Consider the following 26,234-nt stretch of genomic DNA (forward strand, 5'->3'; position numbering starts at 1 on the left):
AGAGACAAACAAAATAATTCATGTACTTTAAGCTCTTGGCTTAAAGCTTTGAATCTCACATGTGATCTCTCTGTCCTTCAATATCCTATAATTCATTGTTCTGACTGCACATAGAACATCCCATTCTTACCAGATTGGGGGAACTTCAGGACCAGAATTTAGGCTTAAATTTTTTGATTCCATACAGCATCTTACAAACAGCAGGTGTTCATGTCAATATATATTAATTATGTGCAATTTCTTTATCTGAGGGGCACCCTTTCTTTTGTAAAATGATGTTGTAAAGTAAAACCTCTTTTTTTTTTTTTTTTGGTCGGAGCCTCCCTCCGTCACCCAGGCTGGAGTGCAGTGGCCACTATCTCTGTTCACTGCAGCCTCCGCCTCCTGGGTTCAAGCCATTCTCCTGCTTCAGCTTCCCAAGTAGCTGGGATCACGGGGATGCACCACCACGCCTGGCTAATTTTTGTATTTTTCATATAGACGGGGTTTCTCCATGTTGTCCAGGCTGGTCTCGAACTCCTCACCTCAGGTGATCCGCCCACCTCGGCCTCCCAAAGTGCTGGGATTACAGGCGTGAGCCGCCGCACCTGGCCTAAACTAAAAGCTTTAGGTTGGCACATTTTCAGGTGAAAAAGACAAAGGAAAGAGCTAGCATGCTACGGTAAAAAGAGAGTATTGATTTTAAACCATGTCACTGTTCTGAGATCTGTGCTCAAAAATAAAGGAGTATTTTAGGTCATTGGAAAAAGAAGAAAGAGAGAAAAGATTGGGCACAGTGGTTCGTGCCTGTAATCCCAGCACTTTAAGAGGCCAAGGTAAGAGAATCACTTGAAGCCAGGAGTTTGAGACCAGCCTGGGCAGCATAGCGAGACCCCATCTCTAGCAAAAAAAGTAAAAAATATAATAACAATTAGCCAGACATGGTGGCATGCTCCTGTAGTCCCAGTTACTCAGAAGGCTCGAGTGGGAAGATCGCTTGAGTCAGGGAGATGGAGGCTACAGTAAGTTGTAATCATGCTGCTGCAGTCCAGCTTGGCTGACAAAGTGAGACCTTGCCTCGGAAAGGAAAGGAAAGGAAAGGAAAGGACAGGAGAGGAGAGGGGAGGGGAGGGGAGGGGAGGGGAGGGGAGGGGAGGGGAGGGGAGGAGCAGAGAAGAGAAGAAAAGAGAAGAAAAGAAAAGAAAGGAAAGGAAGGAAAGGAGGGAAGAAAAGAAAGAGAAAGAAAGAAGAAAACGAGAAAGGGAGGGAGGAAGGCAGGAAGGCAGGACAGAAGAACGCAGGCAGGCAGGCAAGATGGAAGGAAGGAAGGGAGGGAGGGAGGGAAAGAGAAAGAAGGAGAAAGAAGAACTCCAATAGAAGAAGACCAGGGAAGGGTCTAGGCCTAATTTTGTCATTTATTTAAATGTCTTTGAGCATCTCATTGAACTCTCTCTGCTTCTCTGCATTTGCATCTGCAAAATGAGGAAACTGCACATGACTCTGAGGTGATTTCCCACTCAATGATCCTAAGATATTTGAGTACTTGAATATCCTTCAATGATAACATCTGGGAAGAGTATAAAGTCTGATATTAGTCCTCAGTAGTGCTCTCCAAAAGGATGGGTAGATAACTACAGACATTTTTAATTACATATCACTGAGTAACAAATTACCTCCAAATTTAGGAGCTTAAGGCAAGAATAAACATTTATTCTCTCACAGAGTTTCTCAGGGTCAGGAATCCAGGAGTGGCTTAGCTGGGAGGTTCTAGCTTGGGATCTATAAAGGGATTGTAGTCAAGAAGTTGGCTGGACATACAGTCTTCTGAAAATTTGACTAAGGCTGAAGAATCTGTTTCCAAGGTGGCGCTCTCATGGCCGATGGCAGAGTCTTCAGTTGCTTATCACAGGGACTTCCTTGCAGAGCTGTTTGAGTGCCCCTCTGGCATGGCAGTTGGCTTCTTCTGCAATGAGTGATCTAAGAGCAAGAGCAAGGAGGAAGCCACAATGCATGTAATGACTTATTCTCACGGGTTGCACATTGTCACTGCTGCCACATTGAATTCGCTAAAACTCAGTTACTGACTACAGACCACACCCTAGGAGAGAAGAATTAGGCTCCACTTCTTGAAAGGAGTATCAAAGAACTTGCAAATTTATTTGTGAGTTTATTTTAAAAGCCCTCACAAACACGTATTCTTTAAACTAGAGTGGCTCAGCCCTGCAAGACAGGGAAGTTATAACAACCAACATTTCTAGAGTGACTCACTGTTTAGAAAGTATTTCCCCATGTTTTCTCATTGGGTTGTCACAACCCCCCAGTGGAACAACAGCATTAATATCCCCACTTAAAAATGAGGAAATGGAAGCGAGGTCACTTTTGTACAGTTATTTAACAAGTAAGTTGTATAGCTGGGGATTAAGCCCAGCACAAAGCATAAGGCCTTTTCACCATCCTTCAAATGAGAAACTTGGCATGAAGGCCTTTGCACAGAAAAGTTTCATTAGGAAGATTGACTATTCCTTACTTCCTACCAATTGTTTTTACCTATTTTATTAAATTTTTTTATGTTTAACTTACATACTTCCAAAATTACTTGAAGCAGTTTACAAATAAAATGTTTAAGAAAGAAAGAGGAGTAGGGCTGGGCCTGGTGGCTCATGCCTGTAATCCCAGCACTTTGGGAGGCCGAGGTGGACAGATCACTAGAGGTCAGGAGTTCAAGACCAGCCTGGCCAACATAGTGAAACCCCATCTCTACTAAAAATACAAAAATTAGCTGGGCACAGTGGCAGGTGCCTGTGATCCCAGCTACTTGGGAGGCTGAGGTGGGAGAACCACTTGAACCTGAGAGTGGTATGCAGGTCAAACCACTGCACTCCAGCCTCAGCGACAGAGTGAGACTTGGTCTCAAAAAAAAAAAAAAAAAAAAAAAGAAAAAGAAAAAGGAGTAAATAATTCTAGGCACCAGAAATGATCATATTACAACACTTGGCAATAAATTTGGTTCAGATCTTTCTGGCAGCAGAGGTGAAAAGAGAAGCGTGATAGGCTGCAGAGATTTCACTTTCTGACAAGAGTGAGCATGCATGCTATCATTGCCTGAAGCTAAATTCAAGAAGGACTTTATCACGTGGAGTTGTGTAGAGTTAATACCGCTTAACATTGTGGTCAGTATCTTCAATCACACGCTTGCAAAAGATGTACTCATATTAACCCTGAATGTAAACAGAGGACACACCTCACCTGTAAGTTGGTTAATATATTTGAGGAAGAAGCTGAGGAAAGGTGGCCCAGGTACCTTTCTCTCTAATGTCTTTACCAAATTAAGGCATAGAACTTGGAGAATATACAGGAATTGAAGGTTGATCTGTCTGGTGGACTGTCTCTCAAGTATCAGAGTTGTGAGAGTGCTTGAATGACCTGCTAAATCTTGTTAATTTGTCTTGGCATCTTGTAACAGGTACCTACCTGTAATATAAATATTCTATATTGTCAATTAATTAAGGACTTTGCTAAAAGAGAGCAAGGAATGCCAATATAAAGTTAAAGAAAAATATAAAATAAATAAGTTAGGCTGGGCATGGTGACTCATGTCTGAAATCCCAGGACTTTGGGAGGACATGGTGGGAGGGTTGCTTGAGGCCAGGAGTTCGAAACCAGCCTAGGCAAAACAGCGAGACCCCACCTCCCATCTCTACATGTGACTTAAAAAACTTAGCTGGGCATGGTGGTACATGCCTGTAGTCCTAGCTACTTGGAAGACTGTGACAGGAGGTTCACTTGAGCTCAGGAGTTTGAGGCTGCAGTGAGCTATGATTGCACCACAGAACGAGACCCTGTCTAAAAAAAAAAAAAAAAAAAAGTAAAAAAAGTTAGACCGCATGAGCTGTAATAACCCTTTTTGGACCAATATGCTGTGACTCTGTGGCTTTAAGGATGAGATGCCAATATGCATTCTTGTCCCAGTAGAGAGCCAGCCCAGTTTGGCCTGGGTGTGAGAAGCAAAGCTATCAAAAGCTTTGGCCAATTTTTTCCCCCAAAAGGAATTCCAAATATATCCAAGCTTCTATGTTAGTGACTGATTGAAACCAAAGCTTTATACCATATGACATAGAATCCTGGAATAGATAACTTTAGGCTGAAGAAAAAAGAAAAGTTAAGGCAGGTGTGAGCAGCTGTCCAGTTCTGCCATAAAAGAAATCAAGTTTAACTTCAGCGATAACATGCCTTCTTTTAAGCACTCGAGTTTTGTTAGGTTCTCTCCAGTTGGCTGAAAATTACACCCTAAATATTCCTCTAAAAGTAGATAACTTAGTGCACTTTTATTTAATATTACAGTACTTATAAAGGTTTCTATTAATGGGTCTCCTCCTTCGAGAAGAGAATCGTAAATGAAATACATAAAGATTAATAGCCTTTATTTATTTCTTAAACCAGCTGGTCTTCCTCTAAGAAAGCAGATATGCTAAAGTAAATAATCCTTCATTTTAAAAAATAGAAAGCATTCCCCTTGAATGCTGTTTACTGGCTGTGAGCAAATAGGTATTCACTTAGAAGGCTTTGCTCTCTGTTTATTACCCATATTTCTATAATACCTGCTTCAGAAGTGTTGCAGAAAGACAAAATTAATGTGCATGGAAAAAAAGCAGAGAAAATGAGTGTTAATCTTTGTGGAACAATCCAGAGTCCAGAGAAAGAGGCGAGTAGGGGGAGAAGCCACTTGTTGGAATGACTAGTATATTAAGATTCTCTTCTGGGTTATGGGTTAACATCTGCATCATTGAGGTCTATTCACAACAGGATATTGTTCAGTATAACTTTTTGCATCCAACAGAAATACAAATATTAATTTTCATGGCATAGAGAAAACTTCAAAATTTGGGAAAGTACTGAAGGATGTTATCACAAAGTTGTCATTTAGAGTCCAAGAACAGTCTTAACAATTGTACAAGCTTCAGAGCAAGGGCAGAAAATCAAGACATCAAATTGTCATGTGGGAAATCTATTCTGGGGAGTTGTAGAATAAATACTCACTAATAAGAAAAGGTGGGGAAGGTCCTTCTAAGCAAAGGAAATGAGTGACAAGACAAGCAGGTATGAATGACTTTTTTTTTTTTTTGAGATGGAGTCTCGCTCTGTCGCCCAGGCCAGAGTGCAGTGGCACAGTCCCTGCTCACTGCAACCTCCGCCTCCTGGGTTCAAGTGATTCTCCTGCCTCAGCCTCCTGAGTAACTGGGATTACAGGCATGCGCTGCCATGCCTGGTTAATTTTTGTATTTTAATAGAGACAGGGTTTCACCATGTTGGCCAGGCTGGTCTTGAACTCCTGACCTCCGTTGATCCACCTGCCTCGGCCTCCCAAAGGTCTGGGATTATAGGTGTGAGTCACTGCGTCCAGCCCTTCAGTTTGTTTTTTAAGGTTTTACATATATTTTTATTTTTTCCAGTTTTATTGAGGTATACTTGACAAATAAAACCATACAAGTTTAACGTGTACAATGTGACGATTTGATATATGTACATATTGTGAAATGATTACCACAATCAAGTTAGTTAACACATCCCTCACGTCACACTTTTACTTTTTTTAATGTGTGGTGAAAATATTTAAGATCTAATGTCTTAGCAGATTTCAAGTGTGCAATACAGTATTGGCAATTATTGCCACCATGCTTTATATTTAGTCTCCAGAACTTACTCATCTTATAACTGAAAGTTTGTACATTTTGACCAACATCTTTCCATTTTCCCTACTCCTCAGCCCCTGGCAACCTCTATTCTATTCTCTGCTTCTATGAGTTCAACTTCATAGATTTTACATAAAAGTGACATCACACAGTATTTGCCTTTCTCTGTGTGACTTATTTCATTTAGCATAATGGCCTCAAGTTGCATCCATGTTGTTGCAAATGGCAAAATTTCCTCACTTTTTTTTTATGACTGAATAATATATATATTTTTATGAGATGGAGTCTAGCTCTGTTGCCCAGGCTGGTATGCAGTGGCACAATCTCGGCTCACTGCAACCTCTGCCTCCCGGGTTCAAGCGATTCTCCTGTCTCAGCCTCCCGAGTAGCTGGGATTACAGCCGCCCACCATCGGGCTCAGCTAACTTTTGTTATTTTTAGTAGAGACGAGGTTTCACCATGTTGGCCAGGCTGGTCTCAAACTCCTGACCTCAAGTGAGCCACCTGCCTTGGCCTCCCAAATTGCCGGGATTACAGGTGCGAGCCACTGAGCCTGGCCAAAATCCTAACAGAATAACATTCTATTGTGTATGTATTAAAAAACTGTGGTGTGTGTGTATGTGTGAGGTATATACATATATATATATATGGTGTGTTTATATATATATATGTGTATCACAATTTTTTAATCCATTCATCCATCAGTGGACACTTAGGTTGTTTCCATGTCTTGGCTATTGTGAATAATGCTCCAATGAACATGGGCATGCAGATATCACTTTGATATATGGTTTCCTTCTGATGTTATACCCAGAAATGGGACTGCTGGTTCATTAGGGTAGATAGCATATTTGGATCTGTATACTATGGACACTTGGATATAGCTGGAGCACAAGGTACAGGGAGGGGAGTGAGAATGGGAGAGTAGGCTGGAAAGGTAAGCAGAAGCCACACTCTGAAGGGGCTCTTAGGCCAGTTGGGGTCCTTCTACTGCATAACCCAGGTTCCTCCTCAGGCCCAAGTAGGCTCTTAGCATTCCCTTTTCTTCCTCAGCTGCAGGCCTCAGGGCTTTGCTAGGTTTCCCCCCTTTACTAGGTGTTACCACTCACCCCATCTCTTGCATCTGGAAGGTGGTGCCCTCAGCTTCCTTTTTTTTTTTATTTTGTTTATTGCAAGACAGCACAGAGTCAGCTTGGCATGATGGCTCACACCTGTAATCCCAGCACTTTGGGAGGCTGAGGCAGGAGGATTGCTTGAGCCCAGGAGTTCAAGGGCAGCCTGGGCAACATAGTGAGATCCTGTCCTCACAAAAAATTTTTTTTAATTAGCCAAGTCTGGTGGCACATGCCTAAAGTCTCAGCTACTTGGGAGGCTGAGGCAGAAAGTTTGCTTGAACCCAGGAGTTCGGGGCTGCACTGAGCTGTGATTGTGCCATAGTACTCCAGCCTGGGTGACAGAGTGAGACCATGTCTCCAAAATAAGAAATAAAAAAATAAAAAGCACAGAGTTTTTATATTAAAAGATTTTCCAATGCTAATTATGATGGCAAAACAATTCAGGAATGACAAAAATAATAGACATGTATATGAGAAGTGTTTTTTTCTTCTTTTTTTGAGATGGAGTCTCGATTTGTCACCAAGGCTGGAGTGCAGTGGCACGATCTCTGCTCACTGCAACCTCTGCCTCCCAGGTTCAAGCAATTCTCCTGCCTCAGCTTCCCCAGTAGCTGGGATTACAGGCATGTGCCACCACACTCAGCTAATTTTTGTGTTTTTGGTAGAGACAGGGTTTCACCATGCTGGCCAAGCTGGTCTCGAGCTCCTGACCTCAGGTAATCTGCTCACCTCAACCTCCCAAAGTGCTGGGATTACTGGCATGAGCCATGGCACCCGGCCAGGAAGTTGTTTTTGTTTTTGTTTTTGTTTTTGTTTTTGTTTTTGTTTTTGTTTTTTTGAGATGGAGTCTCACTCTGTCGCCCAGATTGGAGTGCAGTGGCACCATCTCAGCTCACTGCAACCTCTGTCACCCGGGTTCAAGCAATTCTCCTGCCTCAGCCTCCCGAGTAGCTGGGATTACAGGCACCTGCCACCATGCCTGGCTAATTTTTGTAGTTTTTAGTAGAGACAGGGTTTCACCATCTTGGCCAGGCTAGTCTTGAACTCCTGACCTTGTGATCCACCCGCCTTGGCCTCCCAAAGTGCTGGGAATACAGGCATGAGCCATCACGCCCGGCTGGGAAGTTTTAAATTTAGGAGTAAGATGATCTGATTTACATTTTTAAAAGTACTCCAGATGTCGTGTAGAGAGTGGATTGTAGGGGACGGGAGTGGAGTAGAGGTCGGGAGAAGCAGGGAAGGTAACACAGGTACCTAGAAAGAGGTGATGGTGCCCCGGACTAGGGCGTAGAAGGAAGATGGTCAAAATTTTTATATGTAGGCTGGGTGCAATGGCTCATGCCTGTAATCTCAGCATTTTGGGAGGTCGAGGTGGGTGAATCACTTGAGGCCAGGAGTTCAAAACCAGCCTGGCCAACATGGTGAAACCCTGTCTCTACTAAAAATACAAAAAAATTAGCCGGGCATGGTGGTGTGTGCCTGTAATCCCAGCTACTCGGGAGGCTGAGGCACAAGAATCACCTGGGAGGTGAAGGTTGCAGTGAGCTGAGATCGCGCCATTGCACTCCAGCCTGGGAGACACAGCAAGACTCCGTCTCAAAAAAAAAAAAAAATTATTACATGTGGGCATAGTTTAACAATAGGACTAACAAGACCTGCCACCGGGTTGGATAGGGCTGATGACGGAAAGAGGAATCAGGGATAAACCGTGAACCCCTGGAGGGTATTACTCTGTTCACCAGGCTTTGCCCTTCTTAGGAATGATCCCTTCTGGACATTTCCTCTGGATTAATGGGTTTTGGGCTTTGGGACAAAGAGCCGTAAATCACTGAAAACATTTCAGCAGGGAAATGACAAGACATTACATTTTTCTCCCCTCCACTAGGCTTACATTTCCTCCAATGAGAATGACTTTGTGGAATGAAATGACAAGTATATGGCCGTTGTCCAGGAAGAAAGGGTGCATCAGTGTGTGTGTGTGTGTGTGTGTGTGGGTGTGTGTGTGTGCATGGGTGTGTGTGGGTCTTCCACACATGCACATACGTGTGAGGGAGAAAGATGCTTCTTCCCTTCCATTCACGGCATGAATTGTTTTATCTCATTGTAAGTAGTTAATGCTAGTAGTTGTTGCAGTAGTAGTAGTAGTGGACATATTAGTGCCCAACTCTCTGCTTCTTAAAAAAGTAGCAGTCTGCTTTTTAGGAAGCAGAAAGTTGGGCACTAATGTGATGGAGTGTAGGATCAAAACCCTGATGAGATGTGACTGGAAGGAAGATACTAATGGCAGTAGAAGAGAGGAAAGAATGGGTAGAGATTTCAAAGGCACACTCTACCCAACTGTACCCAATTCTCAGAATTGGTCCTGTAAAGGCAGCAGGTTTTCTGGAGGTCACCTCCTTCCCCATAGCCCTGTGGCATCAGGACATCAAGCTCAAGGCTGATTTGGGACTTGGATGAGGGCCGTTAATTGTGGATCTTCAGCCACTCAGTGTGGGCTGGTCCAATAATCATATGATTCAAGGATGTTTAGGGATTTCCTGCCTCTACAATCTGAGCCCCTCTGCTGAATCCACTCTCAGATTTTGATGCTGTAGTTAACCCCTGGGGTGAAATTAGAGGAAGGATATAATTGTATAACCACAGTAAATCACTTCACTCCTGCAATGCTCATTTGATATCAGTAATGGAGAAAACAGATTCCTCCCATTTAGAACTACTATAAGAGCACCTGAATTAATGAGCCCAAATGAGTTCATAAATGTGAATGGAGAGAAAGCACTTCCTCTACCTCCACTGAATGTCTTTCCTTTGGGCCTGTCTTAAGTGGAGTTTAGAGGGACTATTGGATTCCTTGAACTGGCAATTTCTGTAATTACCAGTAGTTGCTGAGCTTCCTGATGTAATTTCTTCTGTAGAACAGAAAAGTTCCTAATATTTGGCACAGCAATCTCCCGCTATAATTACAGGAACACAAGGCTGTTAGTCACATCCCTACCTACCCCACCTCTAACAATGCTCTTTTTTTCTTTTTTTAGCATTAGGTAGCTGGGAGAAGACTTGAGCTTAAAACTCTGCTGTTGAATGTAGCTGCTGAGCATAAAGCTACATTCAACAGCAGAATGTGGCTTTATGGACGGTGGATGGTGTCCTTAAGTTAGGGTGATATTAATCAGGTTCAATGTCAATCAAATGGTTTAGCAAAGAAGGACAATACTTAGGGCATTTATTTAATGATTTATTCGCCGCTCTATTTCATACAAGTTTTAAGGAGGTTGGCATATATGACTATTAAATATCTTATTCTTTACTTTGATGAATAACAAATAGTTTTATTTTAATAAGTTCCATTCATGTTTATATTCTATTTTTGACCAAGTAGAATAGTTTTCTTTGTACCTAATATACGCTACATACTTGTCATTGGTTACCTACCACACCCTCTCTGAAGAGCAAGGTCAACAATAAAAGAGCTTAATTCAGAGGCCATAATTCATTCTGTATTCTGTTAATAAGCAACATCCATTTAAAATAGCAATTGCGCTTTCAAGGTCCTGGTATTATTCAGGCAAAGACTCAAAATGATCACTTTCTTGGCATACATAGAAGCCCAAATGTTAAGATGTGTTCTGTGGGCAACTCTCTGCTTGTTTTCTTTCCTAGACAAGTGGTTAACCCGTGTTGCATATCCTGTGTTTATAGAATTCCAGAAAGGTCGTGTCATGTAAATCACTTGTGGACTGGGCACGGTAGTTCATGTCTGTAATTCCACCATTTTAGGAGGCCAAGGCAGGAGGATCGCTTGAGCCCAACAATTTCAGACCAGCCTAGGCAACACAGCGAGCCCCGGTTTCTATGAAAATTTTAAAAAATTATCCAGGCGTGGTGGCAGACACCTGTAGTCCCAGCTACTTGGGAGGCTGAGGTGGGAGGATCACTTGAACCTGGGAGGTCAAGGCTGCAGTGGGCAGTGAGCACACCACAGCACTCAGCACTCTAGCCGGGGTGACAGAGTGAGACCCTGTCTCAAAGATAAACAAATAAATTTAAAAAATCACTTTGTGTGTGTGTGTGTGTGTGTACGAGAGAAAGAGAGAGAGAGAGAGAGAGAGACAGAGAGAGACGGTGTATGGGGGGGATGTATAGGGAGAATGTAAACAGAAACATCTTGAGGAGAAATCCAGCAGTGACTGAGAATGTCGATGGAAGATGCTGGCCTTCGCTTCCACGTGTTATTGTGTTTCTGTGTTCATTACCTGTTACCTTTTTTATAAGTAGCAGAGGGTAAAATAATATGTCCAAGTGGCGACTGGCTAAAGAGACAGAGCATAAAACAGCTGGTCAGACACCCTGGTTTAGTCTATCATTTATAAAGTTGAAAAACTTGAAGTTGAAACCAGATGCAAGAAAATTATAATTTATCAAAGAAAAAAAGAAAGAAAAAGAAAAAAGAAAATTTTTATCTATTTTTAAAAAACAATTCATTTTGTCCTAAAATCTCTGCCAGTTGTTTAATGAGCAGCAGCTTCTAAAATAAACAAAGAATATGAGAAAAAAACAAAAAACAAAAAAAAACCACCACCCAGAATTGATTAGTAGGAAAAAGTCCCAGGAGAGCTTTCTAATGTTGCCTTAATTTTTTTTTAAATGCTATTATACTGTTCATCTCCATTAACTTTTCTTTTTTGGAAGGGAGGTACTATTTTAAAATTCAGGGTTTTGTCTCTAATTTTAAAATGACAATTAGCACAATCACTGATACAAATGTTTCTTCTGATTTCCATGAAACGGATTAATGTTTTAATTCACCTGAACCACCAACTGAATGCCGTAGGCCATTTTGAAAACATTCACTAATCCTTGAAAATAGCATGCTTTCCCTCATATTTTTTTTCAAACACTAATCCTTGGGAAAAAAAAATACCTTCTCTCATTTTCTATTCAATGTTTGCTATTGTTGTAACCTAAGTAGGACCTCTTTGAACAAATGCAAAATTAAGTTTAACTCACAATTGAGTCTCACATCCTGTGGTCTTGGAATTTTAAAATTTCATTCAAAACACACATTATAAACAAAGTCTCCCAAATGACCATCTAGAGAGGAATGTGGCAAAAATCCAGAAACTATTGTAATATTTGGAACTAGCATAGCACAAATAATCAGTGTGTTTTTTTGAAGAGGAGATTATGGGTTGCAGTTTTACAAACTCCACGGGGGATCTGCACGAGATGGGCAAAGTTAAATTAGTTGTGTGCCTCCCAGAGAACCTAAACTCTTTACAGTAAGTGAAGAGGAAGAAGTATTAAAAGGATCTTTTTAAAACCTAGTATTTGTTCATTATAACCATAATTGGAGCAAACATTCTGGCTTACAAATTCCTATAAACTCAAGATCAAAGCAGTGTGCTTGACAAGCCTGTTCTTTAGCACATTAGTTTGGTATTATTAACAGTGGAGACTGATTCAGGGCGGGTTGTTGGGGGGATGTGGAAAGGACAAAGGCCAACGCCAAAACTTATGTCATCAAGCCAGGAAAATCCAAATTTTAGAGGCAGGAAGACCAGAGGAGTTATCAACGTACAAAATAATATTCTGAAGAAGTGCTTTTGAATGAAGAAGTAAACCTGTGAAATCAATTTAAGAACTAAAACTAACCATTGAAGGCACATTTAAAATTTACGCTTCAAAGAAAAAAGGTAGGTCAGAGAAAGCTGAATTCGTACCTCCGAAAATGCACGCTTTCCTGGGGCAGCAACTTGTTTCTCTCCGATTCCAAAAGAATGAAATAAAAGAACTCCAAAAAAGGAATGTAGCAAGGACATACTTTCTACCTCAAAAAAATAAAGGAGTTGGGGTCAGGGCAGAGCCAACTAAGAAGATGGAAACCAATCACATTTCAAAATGATTCTTACTTTCTTAGGAAAGTTTAATATGATGATATCCTATGCGTTTCTCATTTTATCCCTCAGTTAATTTTAATGGTTTACAAATTCATCAACTTTTCTAAATCTGTTTAGAAGAACACCCCTATCTAGAAGATTCACCCAAATTTCATGCTTATTTTTAATATCAGTATTAACACATCATGTAGATCTGTAGCCACTGATATGGTAGCTAATATTTTTCTGCCCTTAAGTAATTGAGTATAAGTAGATTTCACCACCTCTGTAATGTTTCAGTTTCAGTTTTCATACACCATTCTGAGAAATTTTGTGAACTAATATAGCATTTTAGGCTGTTTTCCTCTTAATCATCATAAAAATGCCTCATGTGGGAGAAAGAAAGGAAAAAGATTTTCGGCATATAAATTGTATTAAGTTTATAATACACAAATAGGAATTGCTTTATCCTGGCAAATAACGAGCAGATTTTAAGAAAAGATAGTTAAGACTGTGTGCTTTTTTTTTTTTTTTTTTTTTTTTTGAGACAGTTTCGCTCGTGTTGCCTAGGCTGGAGTGAAATGGCGAGATCCTGGCTCACTGCAACCTCTGCCTCCTGGGTTCAAGCGATTCTCCTGCCTGAGCCTTCCAAGTAGCTGGGATTACAGATGCCTGCCACCACGCCTGACTAATTTTTTTTTTTGTTTTCGTATTTTTAGTAGAGACGGAGATTCACCATGTTGGCAAAGCTGGTCTCCTCACCTCAGGTGATCCACCCGCCTCGGCCTCCCAAAGTGTTGGGATTACAGGCGTGAGCCACCGCGCCTGGCCCAGTTGTTGTTTTCAACACAAACCTCTTAATGAAGAAGCAAGGTTTTTGGAGGAGTGGAAATGGCATGAAATTGTTGGTTAACAGATATAAATTAAAAGATTCTTGACTTGGAAGCAGAAAGATGGCATCGCACCTTATCTGCCCACTTCTGACCAGAGTGTCCTTGGCCAAATCACTTGAATTTTGGGAGCCTTGTTTCTTCCTGCTTTAAAATAGGGATAAAAACATCCACCTTGCAGAGCTGGAGGTGTGTGTATGGGCAGGGGTGGGGGTGGGTGGTCTTGATGATAAATGTTAATAGTTGGCAGGAGGCTTTGCCCTTTTATAACTGGCATTCAGAATTTGAATGCTCATCACTTTTCTTTTCCAATCTAGACTTTAACTAAAGGAAGGAAGAAATATCCAAGTCTATACTCCTGAAAGACCTTCGTATCTACATAGTGCTAGAGCCTAAACGGCAAACTTAAAATTGTAAATGTTGTTGTATTGTTTGAAACCTTCCTTCATGAAATGCAGACTTAAAGCAGCTTAAGAAGGTGGAATGTACTACTAAGCAAAAGGAATTTACTATTCAGAGGGCGGCTGACCTGAATAGAAGTCCGCCTCCCTCCCTCTCTAGCACTGATCACTCCTGTTTAATTTTCTGGCATAACCTTTATCATTATTTAAAATGTCTGACTTGTTTACTCTTTCATTATCTGTGTCTCTATACTCGAATACTTGAATGCAAGTCCCCTAAGGGCCTTGACCTGTCTCTCCAGTGCTTAGTAACAGCCCCTGGCTCATAGAGGGTGTTCAGGAAATTCTTCTTTTTGAATCAACGGATGACAGATGAAGATTTAATAAGATGAAAGTGGGATAGGATAAATAAAGCCATTAGAGCTTGAGTCATATAAGTATTAAATATTTGATAGAGTAGAGGCTTTAAAGAAACAAATGAACTACCTGATGGCAAATTTAGAAGATTACACTGACACACTGTTCATCTGACCTGTGGTTCTAGACAGAATTCTTCACAGTTAATTTCTTAAGAAAGTTACAGATGAACACCCTAAAACATCCAAACAGGGAGGGGACTGCTGATCCAATGACTACTTTGTGCCAGGCATTTTGCAATGTATGTTACATGTGTTACTTATTATTAACTACAAATGGATGAGGTGAGTATTTTTATCCTCGGTTTGCAAATGATCCCAGAAGTTAAGGAACATACCCAAGGATTCCCAGTTGTTATGAACTAAGATCTGACCCATCCTCCTGCACCACGTGGCCTCTGTTTAAATTCCTTTAATAACTGTTCTGGGTCCAAATAAAAAAACAGGGATAGCCGGGCATGGTGGCTCACACCTGTAATCCCAGCACTTTGGGAGGCTGAGGTGGGCGGATCACGAGGTCAGGAGATCGAGACCATCTTGGCTCACACGGTGAAACCCCATCTCTACTAAAAATACAAAAAATTAGCCGGGCGTGGTGGCGGGCGCCTGTAGTTCCAGCTACTCGGGAGGCTGAGGCAGGAGAATGGCGTGAACCTGGGAGGCGGAGCTTGCAGTGAGCCAAAATGGCGCCACTGCACTCCAGCCTGGGTGACAGAGCGAGACTCTGTCTCAAAAAAAAAAAAAGAAAAAAATTTAAATTTTTTTTACATGCATGCAGTAAATACATGCAGTATTGCCCATTTTTAAAATAATAGAAAATTTCAATAAAAAGCAGTTTTGCAATTTGTCACATTTTTAGAGGCAATTTGGGCTAATCCCTGGAAGTAGGCATGATATAGGCTGAAGCTAAATATGAAGCCTAAGGATAATTTATATTTATTTATTTATTTGAGACCATGTCTCACTCTGTTGCCCAGGCTGGAGTGCAGTGGCGCAACCTTGGCTCACTGCAACCTCCACTTCCTGGGTTCAAGTGATTCTCCTGCTGCAGCCTCCCGAGTAGCTGGGATTATAGGTGTGCGCCACCAGGCCCAGCTATTTTTTTGTATTTTAGTAGAGATGGGGTTTCGCCATGTTGGCCAGGCTGGTCTCGAACTCCTGACCTCAAATGATCTACCTGCCTCGGCCTCCCAAAGTGCTGAGATTACAGGCATGAGAAATGAGCCCAGCCAGGATAATTTTTAAAAATAAGTATAAAAGGACAAAATTTGCACAGATTGTTAGAAGAGTATAACAACAAGGAGAAAGTCTGATGACACACTTCCTGATGGAACCTTAGCCATTGGAGCTGTCAAGGAGTTACCTCAATCATGGGTCCCAGCACAAGGCTAAGTCAGAAGAGGAACTTCTCTGAATTGTAGGGTATCTTCAGCTCCATTAAGATAGAGCCTTAAATTGGCTGAACTTTAGAGCTGGAAGGAACCTTTAAGGTGTTCTTTTCTATTTCTTCATACTTTCTTCTACATTTGAAAACAAGGAATTTCTATTTCCAACTCCATTCTTTCCCCTCTCCCCAGTCCCGTTTCTCCAGCTCTCTGGAATGGCCTACAAGTAATGTACTAGATCTTAGGTCCTCCAGGTAACATCAGCATGCTTATTACCCTTCAAGTCTCCCCAGCGTTGGGGTCCTAATTCACAATGGTAATAAGGGAGGAAGTGACCCAGCAGGCCTAGCATAGGGCTGGTTATAGAGAAATGTCAGAGGAGTATCCAGCATTCGCATTCTAGCAATGTCTGTAACTGTGAGTATGAGCTAGGGAAAGTTTCTTCATTTTTCTGGGCCACAGCTTCCTTAGCTATAAAAAGGGAAGTAGAAGTCCTGTTCAGGGGTGTGGAAGGATCAAATGAGATCATCTCCATTTGAAGTCTCTTGGACTAAGTTGGCGCTCAATGATTCCAGCTATTATTTTTATCTTAAACTAAGATCATTCTACATCTGAAAGGCTGAGGAATCTTATCCTTGTCAGAAACATAATCTGGCTGGGCGCAGTGGCCTACATCTGTAATCCCAGCACTTTGAGGGACCGAGGTAGGCAGATCACTTGAGGCCAGGGGTTTGAGACCAGACTGGCCAACATAGTCATACCCCGTCTCTACTAACAATACAAAAGTTTGCTGGGCATGGTAACGCATGCCTGTAGTCTCAGCTACTCAGGAGGCTGAGGAAATAGAAACGCTTGAATCTGGGAGGTGGAGGCTGCAGTGAGCTGAGATCACACCACTGCACTCCAGCCTGGGTGACAGACTGCAACCCTGTCAAAAAATAAATAAATAAATAAATAAATAAATAAATAAATAATAAATGAATAAATATATATATATATAATCCATATGAAATATATATGTAATCCATATGAAATATATATATATATATAATCTTTATGAAATATATATAATAATCTCAGAGCCGAGTGCAGTGGCCTACATCTGTAATCCCAGGAGTCTGAGGCCAGAGGATTTCTTGAGCCCAGGAGTTCAAGGCTACAGTGAGCTGTGATTGTGCCACTGCACTCCAGTCTGAAAAAAAAAAAAAAAGAAAGAAAAAAAAGAATATAAAGAAATATAATCTTGAACTTACTATGAAGCTAGAAGGTAAGTCAACTAGCAAAGAAATGATTATTTGCTTATTTTCTATAGAGTTTATTTTATCATTTAGTTGCCCCCACTTGAACATTTATAGAAGTATATGACTTATTAATATGAAGTTTATAATCATACTAATTTGATTTTTAAAGCATCTAGGCTGGGCGTGGTGGCTCATACCTGTAATTCCAGCACTTTGGGAGGCCAAGGCGGGAGGATTGCTTGAGCCCAGGAGTTGGAGACCAGCCTGGGCAACATACTGAGACCCGTGTCTCTATTTTTTTAAATACTATATAAAAAGCAAAGCATGTAATTGAATAAAGTTAAATTAATTTTTTCTGCTCTCTCTCCTGTCTTTGCTTAACAGTTTCATTGAGATGCACTTCACATACCATATAATTCACTCACCTAAAGTGCAAATTCAGTGGTTTATAGTATATTCAGAGTTGTGCAGCCACCAACACAATCAACTTTGAAGACTTTTATCACTCCAAATGAAGTCCTATATCCTTTCACAGTTATCCCCACATACACACTGCCGGGCCCTAGACAGCCATTAATCTGCTGTCTCTATAGATTTGCCTTTTCTGGACATTCTAGAATCCCACAAGATCTTTCATGATTTGCTGCTTTCATTTAGCACGTTTTCAAGGTCCATCCATGTTGTAGTGTGTTTCATACTTTATGTCTTTTTATAAACTAATAGTATTCTATTTTCTAGATATATCACATTTTATATCTTCATCAGTTGATGGACATTTGCATTGCTTCCACTTTGGGGCTTCCATGAATAATGGTGCCATGAACATTTATGTTTCTGTATGGACGTGTTTTCGGTTCTCTTAAGTTTACACCTAAGAGTAGAATTGTTGGGTCATAGAGTAACTCTATCGTTACCCTTTGAAGAACTGTTAGGTTGCTTTTTAAAATGGTTACATCATTTTACATTCTCACCATCAATGTATGAGGGTTTCAATTTTCCACAACCTTGTCAACATTTGTCATTATCTGTCTTTTGGCTTATTGCCACACTAGCAGGTGAGAAATGGTATCTCATTGTGGTTTTGATTTGCTTTTTCCATGATGGCTAATGATACTGAATATTTTTTCATGTGATCAATGGTCATTTGCACATCTTTGGAGAAATATGTATTCAGATCTTTTGCCCATTTTTAATTGAACGATTTGTCTTTTTATTATTCAGTTTTAAGAATTCTTTATATATTCTCGATACTAGACCCATTTCACATATATTTGATCTACAAATATTTTCTCCCATTCTGTATTTTTTTTTTTTTTACTTTCTTGATAGTGTCCTTTGAAGCACAAAAGTTTTAAATTTTGATGAAGTCCAATTTATCTATTTTTTTAATTTGTTGCTTGGGTTTTTGTGTCATATCTAAGAAATCATTGCTAATCCAAGATTATGAAGATTTACCCCTATACTGTCTTCTATGAGTTTTATAGCTTTGGTTTTTAGATTTAGGGCTATGATCTAAGGTAATTTTTTAATATGTTGTGAATTACAGGCCCAATGTCATTCTTTTGCATGTAGATATTCAGTTTTCCCAGCATCATTTGTTGCAAAGACTGTTCCTTTTCCCACTGAATTCTTTTGACACTAGTCAAAAATCAAATGACCTAAATGTGAGGGCTTATTTCTGGACTCTTAGTTCTATTCATTTGATCTGTAAGTCTGTCCTTATCCAGCACCACACAGTCTTGATTACTGTAGCTCTGTAGAAAGTTTGAAATGCGGAAATATCAGTCCTCCAACTCTGTTCTTCTTTTTCAAGATTGTTTGGCTATTGTGGGTTCCATAAAATTGTGGCTGTCCTTGTCAGTTTCTACAAAGTGGCCAACTGGGATTTTGATAGTGATTGCATTGAATCTGTGGAATAATTTGGTGAGTGTTGCCATCTTAATAATAATACCTTTTGATCCATAAACATGGGATGTTTTTCCATTTATTTAGATCCTTTAACATTTCTTTCAACAATGTTTTGTAGATTTCAGAGCATAAAGCTTGCACTTCTTTTTAAAAATTTATACCTAAGTACTTTATTTATTTAATTTGATACTCTGGATATTTAATACTCATGCTATTGGAAATGGGATTGTTTTCTTAGTTTAATTTTCAGATGGTTCCTTGAAAATATATAGAATACAATTTTTTTATATTAATCTTGTATTCTCCAACTTGGCTGAATATATGTGTTAGTGGTACAGATAATAATTTTTTAGTGGAGTTCTTAGAATTTTCTTTTCTTTTTTTTTTTTTTTTTTTTTTTCTGAGACTGAGTTTCACTCTTGTCACCCAGGCTGGAGTGCAATGGCATGATCTCAGCTCACTGCAACCTCCGCCTCCTGGGTTCAAGTGATTCACCTGCCTCAGCCTCCCAAGTAGCTGGGACTACAGGCGTGTGCCACTGCCCTTGGCTAATTTTTTTTTTAATATTTTTAGTACAGATGGGGTTTCACCATTTTAGCCAGGCTGGTCTCGAACTCCTGAGCTCAGGTGATCCACCCACCTAGCCTCCCAAAGTGCTGGGATTACAGATGTAAGCCACCGCACCTGGGCGAGTTCTTAAAATTTTCTATGCCTAAGATCATGTCAATATACAAGATCATGTCATCTGAAGATACAGACACTTTTACTTCCTTCTTTCCAATCTGATGTCTTTTACTTCATTATCTTGCCTAATTGTCCTGGCTAGAACCTTCAATACCATGTTGAATAGAATTGGTGAGAGTGGAAATTCTTGTTTCATTCTTACGATGTTGGCTGCAGGTTTCCTATGGATGACTTTTATCAGGTTGAGAAAGTTCCCTTCCATTTCTAGTTTGTCGAGCGTTTGCCAGTATTTTATTGAGGATTTTGTGTCAATATTATAAGAGGTATTGGTCTGTAGTTTTCTTATCATTTATTTGGAGAATTATTATTATTATTATTATTATTATTATTTGAGACAAAGTCACTCTGATGCCCAGGCTGGAGTGCAATGGCGCGATCTCCGCTCACTGCAACCTCCACCTCCCAGGTTCATGCCATTCTCCTGCCTCAGCCTCCCGAGTAGCTGGGACTACAGGTGTCCGCCACCATGCCCGGCCAATTTTTTGTATTTTTAGTAGAGGCGGGGTTTCATCCTGTTAGCCAGGATAGTCTCAATCTCCTAACCTCCTGATCCACCCGCTTCAGCCTCCCAAAGTGCTGGGATTACAGGCATGAGTCACTGTGCCCGGCTGAGAATTATTTTTTAATTAATAAATGTGTCAGAAAATTCAAATGGGTTAAAATTCAGTAGCCCCTGTCTTGGTCACCCATTTTCAGCCACTCACTGTTACTTGTTTGTAGGATTTTTTAAAAATTAAATATATTAACTATTTAAAATATATTTTAAAATAAATCTTGTTGCATTTCTCATCATTTTATACTTTCGTAAATCATTTTTGTAACTTTAAATAGTTTATTAAAATTATAATTTGATACTCTGGGTACTTCACATAAAATATTCTCTATCAGTTTATAATAATAAAAATAATTTAAATTGTTATAGCCAAAAAAATAAAGAACTCACTAACAATCGTAAATCCCACTTCTAGGAGTATGACTTGTGTAAATCATACCCTCCGAGGCACATCTGTAAAAACAGGAATAAAATTACCAACTGTCAGCATTGTCCTGAGGACTGACTGAGATGATTGATGTCTGTGAGAGGGCTTGAGACAGTGCAGACTCATAGTTACCGTCACTGTGGAAATTATACATCACAGCATCCCTTTAACTAGAAAGCTGTTGCATGTTAGACAGGCATACAACCTTTTGAAAACCCTCTATTGCATAAAACTAAATACTTCTGTATGTGCTCTGTTTTTCAGAAGTTATTTTTCAGTTCTTAAATTATCTTTTTTTCTTTTGCCTAGATTCTGTGTTTCATTGCTTATTTCGGAAAGTTGGAAAGTATCATGCAAATACAGATATAGCTATGCTATTTAAAAATAAAATACTCAGTGTTTGCTGGTGAAGGAAAATATGATGCTACGTAGGTAAAACTGCTGATGAAAATCAGATTTGCATTTCATAAGAACATTTCTGGAGAACTTTAGGCTTGAGAAAAGTAGGAGCCAAATGCTTCTCCCAGACGATAGTTTATAACTCTTACTGAAGTCAAAAGTTATTCTGAGGGTAAAATTTAGGCCACATGTTTGGAAAGCTGGAAGAAAAAAAACAAACCATGCATCAATGTCTAAATTTTTCCAAAGTACTTAGATGAAAAATTATTTGTAGTTAAGATCTTGAGAAATGTTTTTATCCATTAGTGAAATATTAACAATACCTTAATATAATTTATTAACCATCCTTCCATAGGATGCTAATCATGACAGAATTTAGTCATGAAAATAATAATTTAAGTAGCAAAAGCACAGGATAATACGAGTTATAATATCTAACATGGAGTCTTGAAGATTCCTTTAAATAGAGTTTCTCTAGGCCTGGAGCGGTGGCTCACGCCTGTAATCCTAGCAGTGTGGGAGGCCTGGGCAGGCGGATCATGAGGTCAGGAGATGGAGACCATCCTGGCTAACATGGTGAAACCCCGTCTCTACTAAAAATACAAAAAATTAGCCGGGCGTGGTGGCGGGCGCCTGTAGTCCCAGCTAGTCGGGAGGCTGAGGCGGGAGAATGGCGTGAGCCCGGGAGGCGGAGCTTGCAGTGAGCCGAGATCGGGCCACTGCCCTCCAGCCTGGGTGACAGAGCAAGACTCCATCTCAAAAAAAAAAAAGAGTTTCTCTAATGCATTTTACAAATGAAATACATCATTATTAGATTGAGATAAAACTTTTCAGACAGACCTATTGTATAAAACAAAGTATGTACTTAATATTTATTAATAGAATGATTAGAAATTACCTTAAGAGACTTTTTTCTTGCAGTAATTTCACAATGTGCTTTTTAAAAATTCCCACATGTTGAGATAATGACAATAACATTTTAAAAAATTAATTAGAATAAAAATTGTTAACCTAATTACAGCAGCAACTATTGAAAGAGACAATGTACAACTTTGCTTTTGATGTTCAAAGGGATTATTAGTCAGCTGTCTTTCACAAAGCTAGGTACTTAACAAGATGTGAATTGTTTGATATACTACTATTTGTCAGTGCTTAAATAAACAGGTTCCAAAGTGGATCTTCTTAGTCCTTAGTGTGGTCTGGACAAGGGTGCTAGCCACAAAAGTTATACCTACAAGTTGATGCTTATCATTACACTATCTCTGACACCAAGCAATACAGATGCAAAGAGTGAAACCTTTCTGGTAGGCTTTCTTTGAAAGAGTGATAAAGGCCATCTGTGTTCAAGGTTAATAGTAACATAGGCCAGAGAAGAAAATAAAGGGATCTTTTTTTCTGTTCTATTGATTTCCTGTGTAACCACAGTCAAAATTTTAAAAACAAATATGCCAACCAAAATTAAATACCATTATTTTATTTAGGATTCTTTCAATTTATTATCCACATAATTATCTAATTTTTTTTTTTTTTTTTTGAGACAGAGTCTTGTGCTGTCACCCAGGCTGGAGTGCAGTGGCACGATCATGGCTCACTTGCAGCCTTGGCCTCCTGGGCTTAGCCTCTCGAGTAGCTGGGACTACAGGCACATGCCACTACTCCCGGCTAATTTTTGTGTTTTTTGTAGATATGGGGTTGTCCTATGTTGCCCAGGCTAGTCTCAAACTCCTGGGCATAAGCGATACTCCTGCCTTGGCCTCCCAAAGAGCTGGGATTATAGGCCTGAGCCACCGTGTCCTGTGCCACCGTGTCCTGCGATTATCTAATTTGATTCATGCAACAAATCTCTAAGGCAGTATTATTAGTCCATCTAACAGATAACAAAACTGAACATGGGTATGGGTAAAATAATTTCCTAAGAAATTTATTGAGTGCCTACTATGTACCCAGTTATTTTATGTAATACCTCAATTAATTATCAAAGCAACCCTATGCAATAGGTTTCATATTCCCCTTTTGCAGGTGAGGAAAAATAAACTTGCTCAAAGTTGGGCATTTGGTTTGTGGTAGAAGTACTAGTGGTGAAGCTAGTTCAGTGTTCTTTCATTCATACCACAGCTGCTTTTTTAAAACTATGGATGTTTAACATTGGCTTATTACAGAACCCAAAACCACTGCAATATATGATGCATGACAAACGGGCAAAGTTTAGGAAATAAAAATTTAAGTATATTCCCTTATAAATAGATAACTGGAATTTTATTATTCATATGGTGTTGTCATTTCTTGTGTAGGTAGTGTTAACTGGCTTTAACTTGTTCATGTTATAAAAAGAACAAATCTATCAATCACACATGGAAACATTTTCCTCCAATTACATTAGCTACAAAAACTTCTGACAAATTATTAGATTTGTACACATTCTTTTCACCAAATGTGCATTTGATTCCATTCACGTTCCACATCACTAGAGTAAATGGCCCATTCATTTTCTTGCTTTACCTTCTTGAACTGCTGCACATATTAACAAGCTAAGCAAAACTTAACCCAGGCCTGCAAAAAACTCAAATTGCCAGGGCCAAAAAATCCTGTGAAAAATTAAACACAATTGGACAGAAAACGGTGAATATTTATTTTTGTTTCTCAAGTTCTCCTGAAGCTGTGATTCATTTTCAGTGTTCTATTTCTTTTAATCCTGGAGTTCGAGCTTATTTTCTATATGGAATTGCAGAGTCTGATGGAATCCTTCTTGGCACTCTTTCAATTTCCTATACATTTTATTAACCTTGATGAACACGTGGTAGAAAATGACAGGGATAATGTTATGAATATAAGAGAACCATAAAGATGAACAAAAAAAACATGAGTTAAACATTTGTAGAGTGAGCGGCTCCTAGTTTCTAACATGGGCTATCAGCAGGGCTGTCTTAGGCCCAGAGCCCCTGCACAATCTGATAACAAGAAACCTTGCTTTGTATTCTCAGAAGCTCCTATCAGCTATCTACAGTGGGTTTCCCAAACATTTTGTACATCTGATCCTCTTGGAAATTAAATAACAAAAATAATATTGTCATTTCTGAGTGGGGATATGAGAAAAAAATGAATTAACACCAATCAAGATAAAATTATGACTGTATTTGCCTGTTTTAACTTTTTTTTTTTTTTTTTTTTGAGACAGAGAGTCTTGCTCTGTCACCCAGGCTGGAGCGCAATGGCACGATCTTGGCTCACTGCAACCTCCGCCTCCCGGGCTCAAGTGAGTCTCCTGCCTCAGCCTCCCGAGTAGCTGGGATTACAGGCGCCTGCCAACGCACCCGGCTAATTTTTATATTTTTAGTAGAGACAGGGTTTCCCCATGTTGGCCAGGCTTGTCTTGAACTCCTGACCTCACGTGATCCGCCCGCCTCAGCGTCCCCAAGTGCTGGGATTACAGGCATGAGCCACTGTGCCCAACCGATGTTGATTTTTGAAGTACAGCCATTTTGACATGCTTTGCAAGAATTTTGATGAGATGAATGCAAGTTATGGACTTGTTGAGTAATGATAAAAACTAATATTACTATAACAATTGTGTTATAGCACTGTTCTATGTACTTGAAACAGTAATACTTTGAATTCTGACGATCCTATGAATTAGAAGCTACAATCTCCATTTTATAGGTGAAGAAACTGAGGCACTGACAAGTTAAAAAACTTGTCTAAGATCACACAGCTAGCAATGTTGAAATGCATCACTGTGGGGCCAGGCGCGGTGGCTCACGCCTGTAATCCTAGCACTTTGGGAGGTCGAGGTGGGAGGATCACTTGAGGTGAGGAGTTGGAAACCAGCCTGGCTAACATGATCAATTCCTATCTCTACTAAAAATACAAAAAAATTAGCCAGGCATGGTGGCAGGCACCTGTAATCCCAGCTACTTGGGAGGCTGAGGCAGGTGAATTGCTTGAACCCAGGAGGTGGAGGTTGCAGTGAGCCGAGATTGAGACACTGCACCCCAGCCTGGGTGAGAGAGAGAGACTCGGTCTCAAAAAAAAAAAAAAGTGTCACTGTGTTTAAACCACCACAGCAAACTGTAATGTCCGCCTCTCATGAGCCACTAGCTGCTTCACATGCCTTTGGATACACACCTAGGAACTCCCAAACTCATCCCTTTTACTATTTAAATATTTCATTTATTGATTTTTAAAAAAGAAACTATGTGCCATTACTCCCTTTAGTGAGAAAGTCCCAGAGAAAGGTTATACTCAAGTTCTATATCAAAGAATGATTCTCCCTGCATGCAGTGACTCACACCTATAATACTAGCATTTTGGGAGGCCAAGGTGAGAGGATCTCTTGAGCCCAGGAGTTCAAAGCTGCAATGAACTTTGATTGCACTACCACACTCCAGCCTGAGCAACAGAGCAAGATCCTGTCTTAAAAAAAAAAAATCTTAAAGCTCAGTTCATGGACAATTTGCATCAGAATCTCTGAGCACCCTGTTATAAATACCTGCTATAAATGCTTCAGTCCAAATTTACTCATTTAGCGTCTTAGGGAGTGGAACTCAGGCCCTTAATTGATTTTGATGCCCACTAAGTTCTGAGGACCACAGCTCTACCAGGGCCTTCTTATTTTATTTTATTTTATTTTTTTTTGAGACAGAGTCTCGCTCTGTCACCCAGGCTGGAGTGCAGTGGCACGATCTCAGCTCACTGCAAGCTCTGCCTCCCAGGTTCACGCCATTCTCCTGCCTCAGCCTCCTGAGTAGCTGGGACTGCAGGCACCCGCCACCACGCCTGGCTAATTTTTTGTATTTTTAGTAGAAACGGGGTTTCACTGTGTTAGCCAAGATGGTCTCGATCTCCTGACCTCGTGATCCGCCTGCCTCGGCCTCCCAAAGTGCTGGGATTACAGGTGTGAGCCACCATGCCCGGCCACCAGGGCCTTCTTATGACCCTGCTTAGAATGCCTTTCCCTATTCTATGTACATCAACCCCCCACCTGGAGTTCCCCTGAATAGCAGATGCTCTTTCACACCTCAGAGCCTGAACGTGCTGTTTCCTGTGCTTGTCATGCTTCCTCCTATTCTTGTCTTCTGAACTCCCACTGCAGTAAGTCAGCTACCAAGTCATCTCTGCAAGGACTGGGCCCATGAGGCAAGAGTTAGGTCTTCCTTCATTGTACCCCCAAGCTGTTAAACTCTTTTATCTCTTTCCTATCATAGAATTCCACT

At 40.2% G+C, this 26,234-nt stretch overlaps 1 protein-coding gene and 1 long non-coding RNA gene across 3 annotated transcripts in view, besides 4 other annotated features; one reads left to right on the forward strand and one right to left on the reverse strand.

Annotated features, from left to right (window-relative positions):
* The window catches only part of RBPJ (recombination signal binding protein for immunoglobulin kappa J region), a 329,683-nt gene that overhangs the window by 181,045 nt on the left and 122,404 nt on the right, over window positions 1-26,234 (forward strand). The window lies entirely within an intron of this gene.
* Window positions 1,660-12,573, reverse strand: LOC105374542 (uncharacterized). Its single transcript, XR_925508.3, has 2 exons — window positions 12,505-12,573; window positions 1,660-1,956 (listed from the first exon to the last, which is right to left on the reverse strand). It is a non-coding gene; the product is annotated as an uncharacterized LOC105374542 (long non-coding RNA).
* Window positions 2,152-2,201: an enhancer, noted in NCBI's record as "active region_21393". NCBI's record gives its function as "activates an Ori minimal core promoter by ATAC-STARR-seq in GM12878 lymphoblastoid cells {active_cell/tissue: GM12878}" and the evidence as "EXISTENCE:reporter gene assay evidence [ECO:0000049][PMID:35858748]".
* Window positions 2,372-2,421: a silencer, noted in NCBI's record as "silent region_15334". NCBI's record gives its function as "represses an Ori minimal core promoter by ATAC-STARR-seq in GM12878 lymphoblastoid cells {active_cell/tissue: GM12878}" and the evidence as "EXISTENCE:reporter gene assay evidence [ECO:0000049][PMID:35858748]".
* Window positions 13,518-14,281: an enhancer, noted in NCBI's record as "NANOG-H3K27ac-H3K4me1 hESC enhancer chr4:26301633-26302396 (GRCh37/hg19 assembly coordinates)". NCBI's record gives its function as "activates a minimal SCP1, AML or CMV promoter by ChIP-STARR-seq in naive H9 embryonic stem cells {active_cell/tissue: H9 hESC(naive)}" and the evidence as "EXISTENCE:reporter gene assay evidence [ECO:0000049][PMID:30033119]".
* Window positions 25,961-26,150: an enhancer, noted in NCBI's record as "active region_21394". NCBI's record gives its function as "activates an Ori minimal core promoter by ATAC-STARR-seq in GM12878 lymphoblastoid cells {active_cell/tissue: GM12878}" and the evidence as "EXISTENCE:reporter gene assay evidence [ECO:0000049][PMID:35858748]".

This window comes from Homo sapiens, chromosome 4, assembly GCF_000001405.40.
Source record: "Homo sapiens chromosome 4, GRCh38.p14 Primary Assembly".
Classification (NCBI taxonomy): domain Eukaryota; kingdom Metazoa; phylum Chordata; class Mammalia; order Primates; family Hominidae; genus Homo; species Homo sapiens.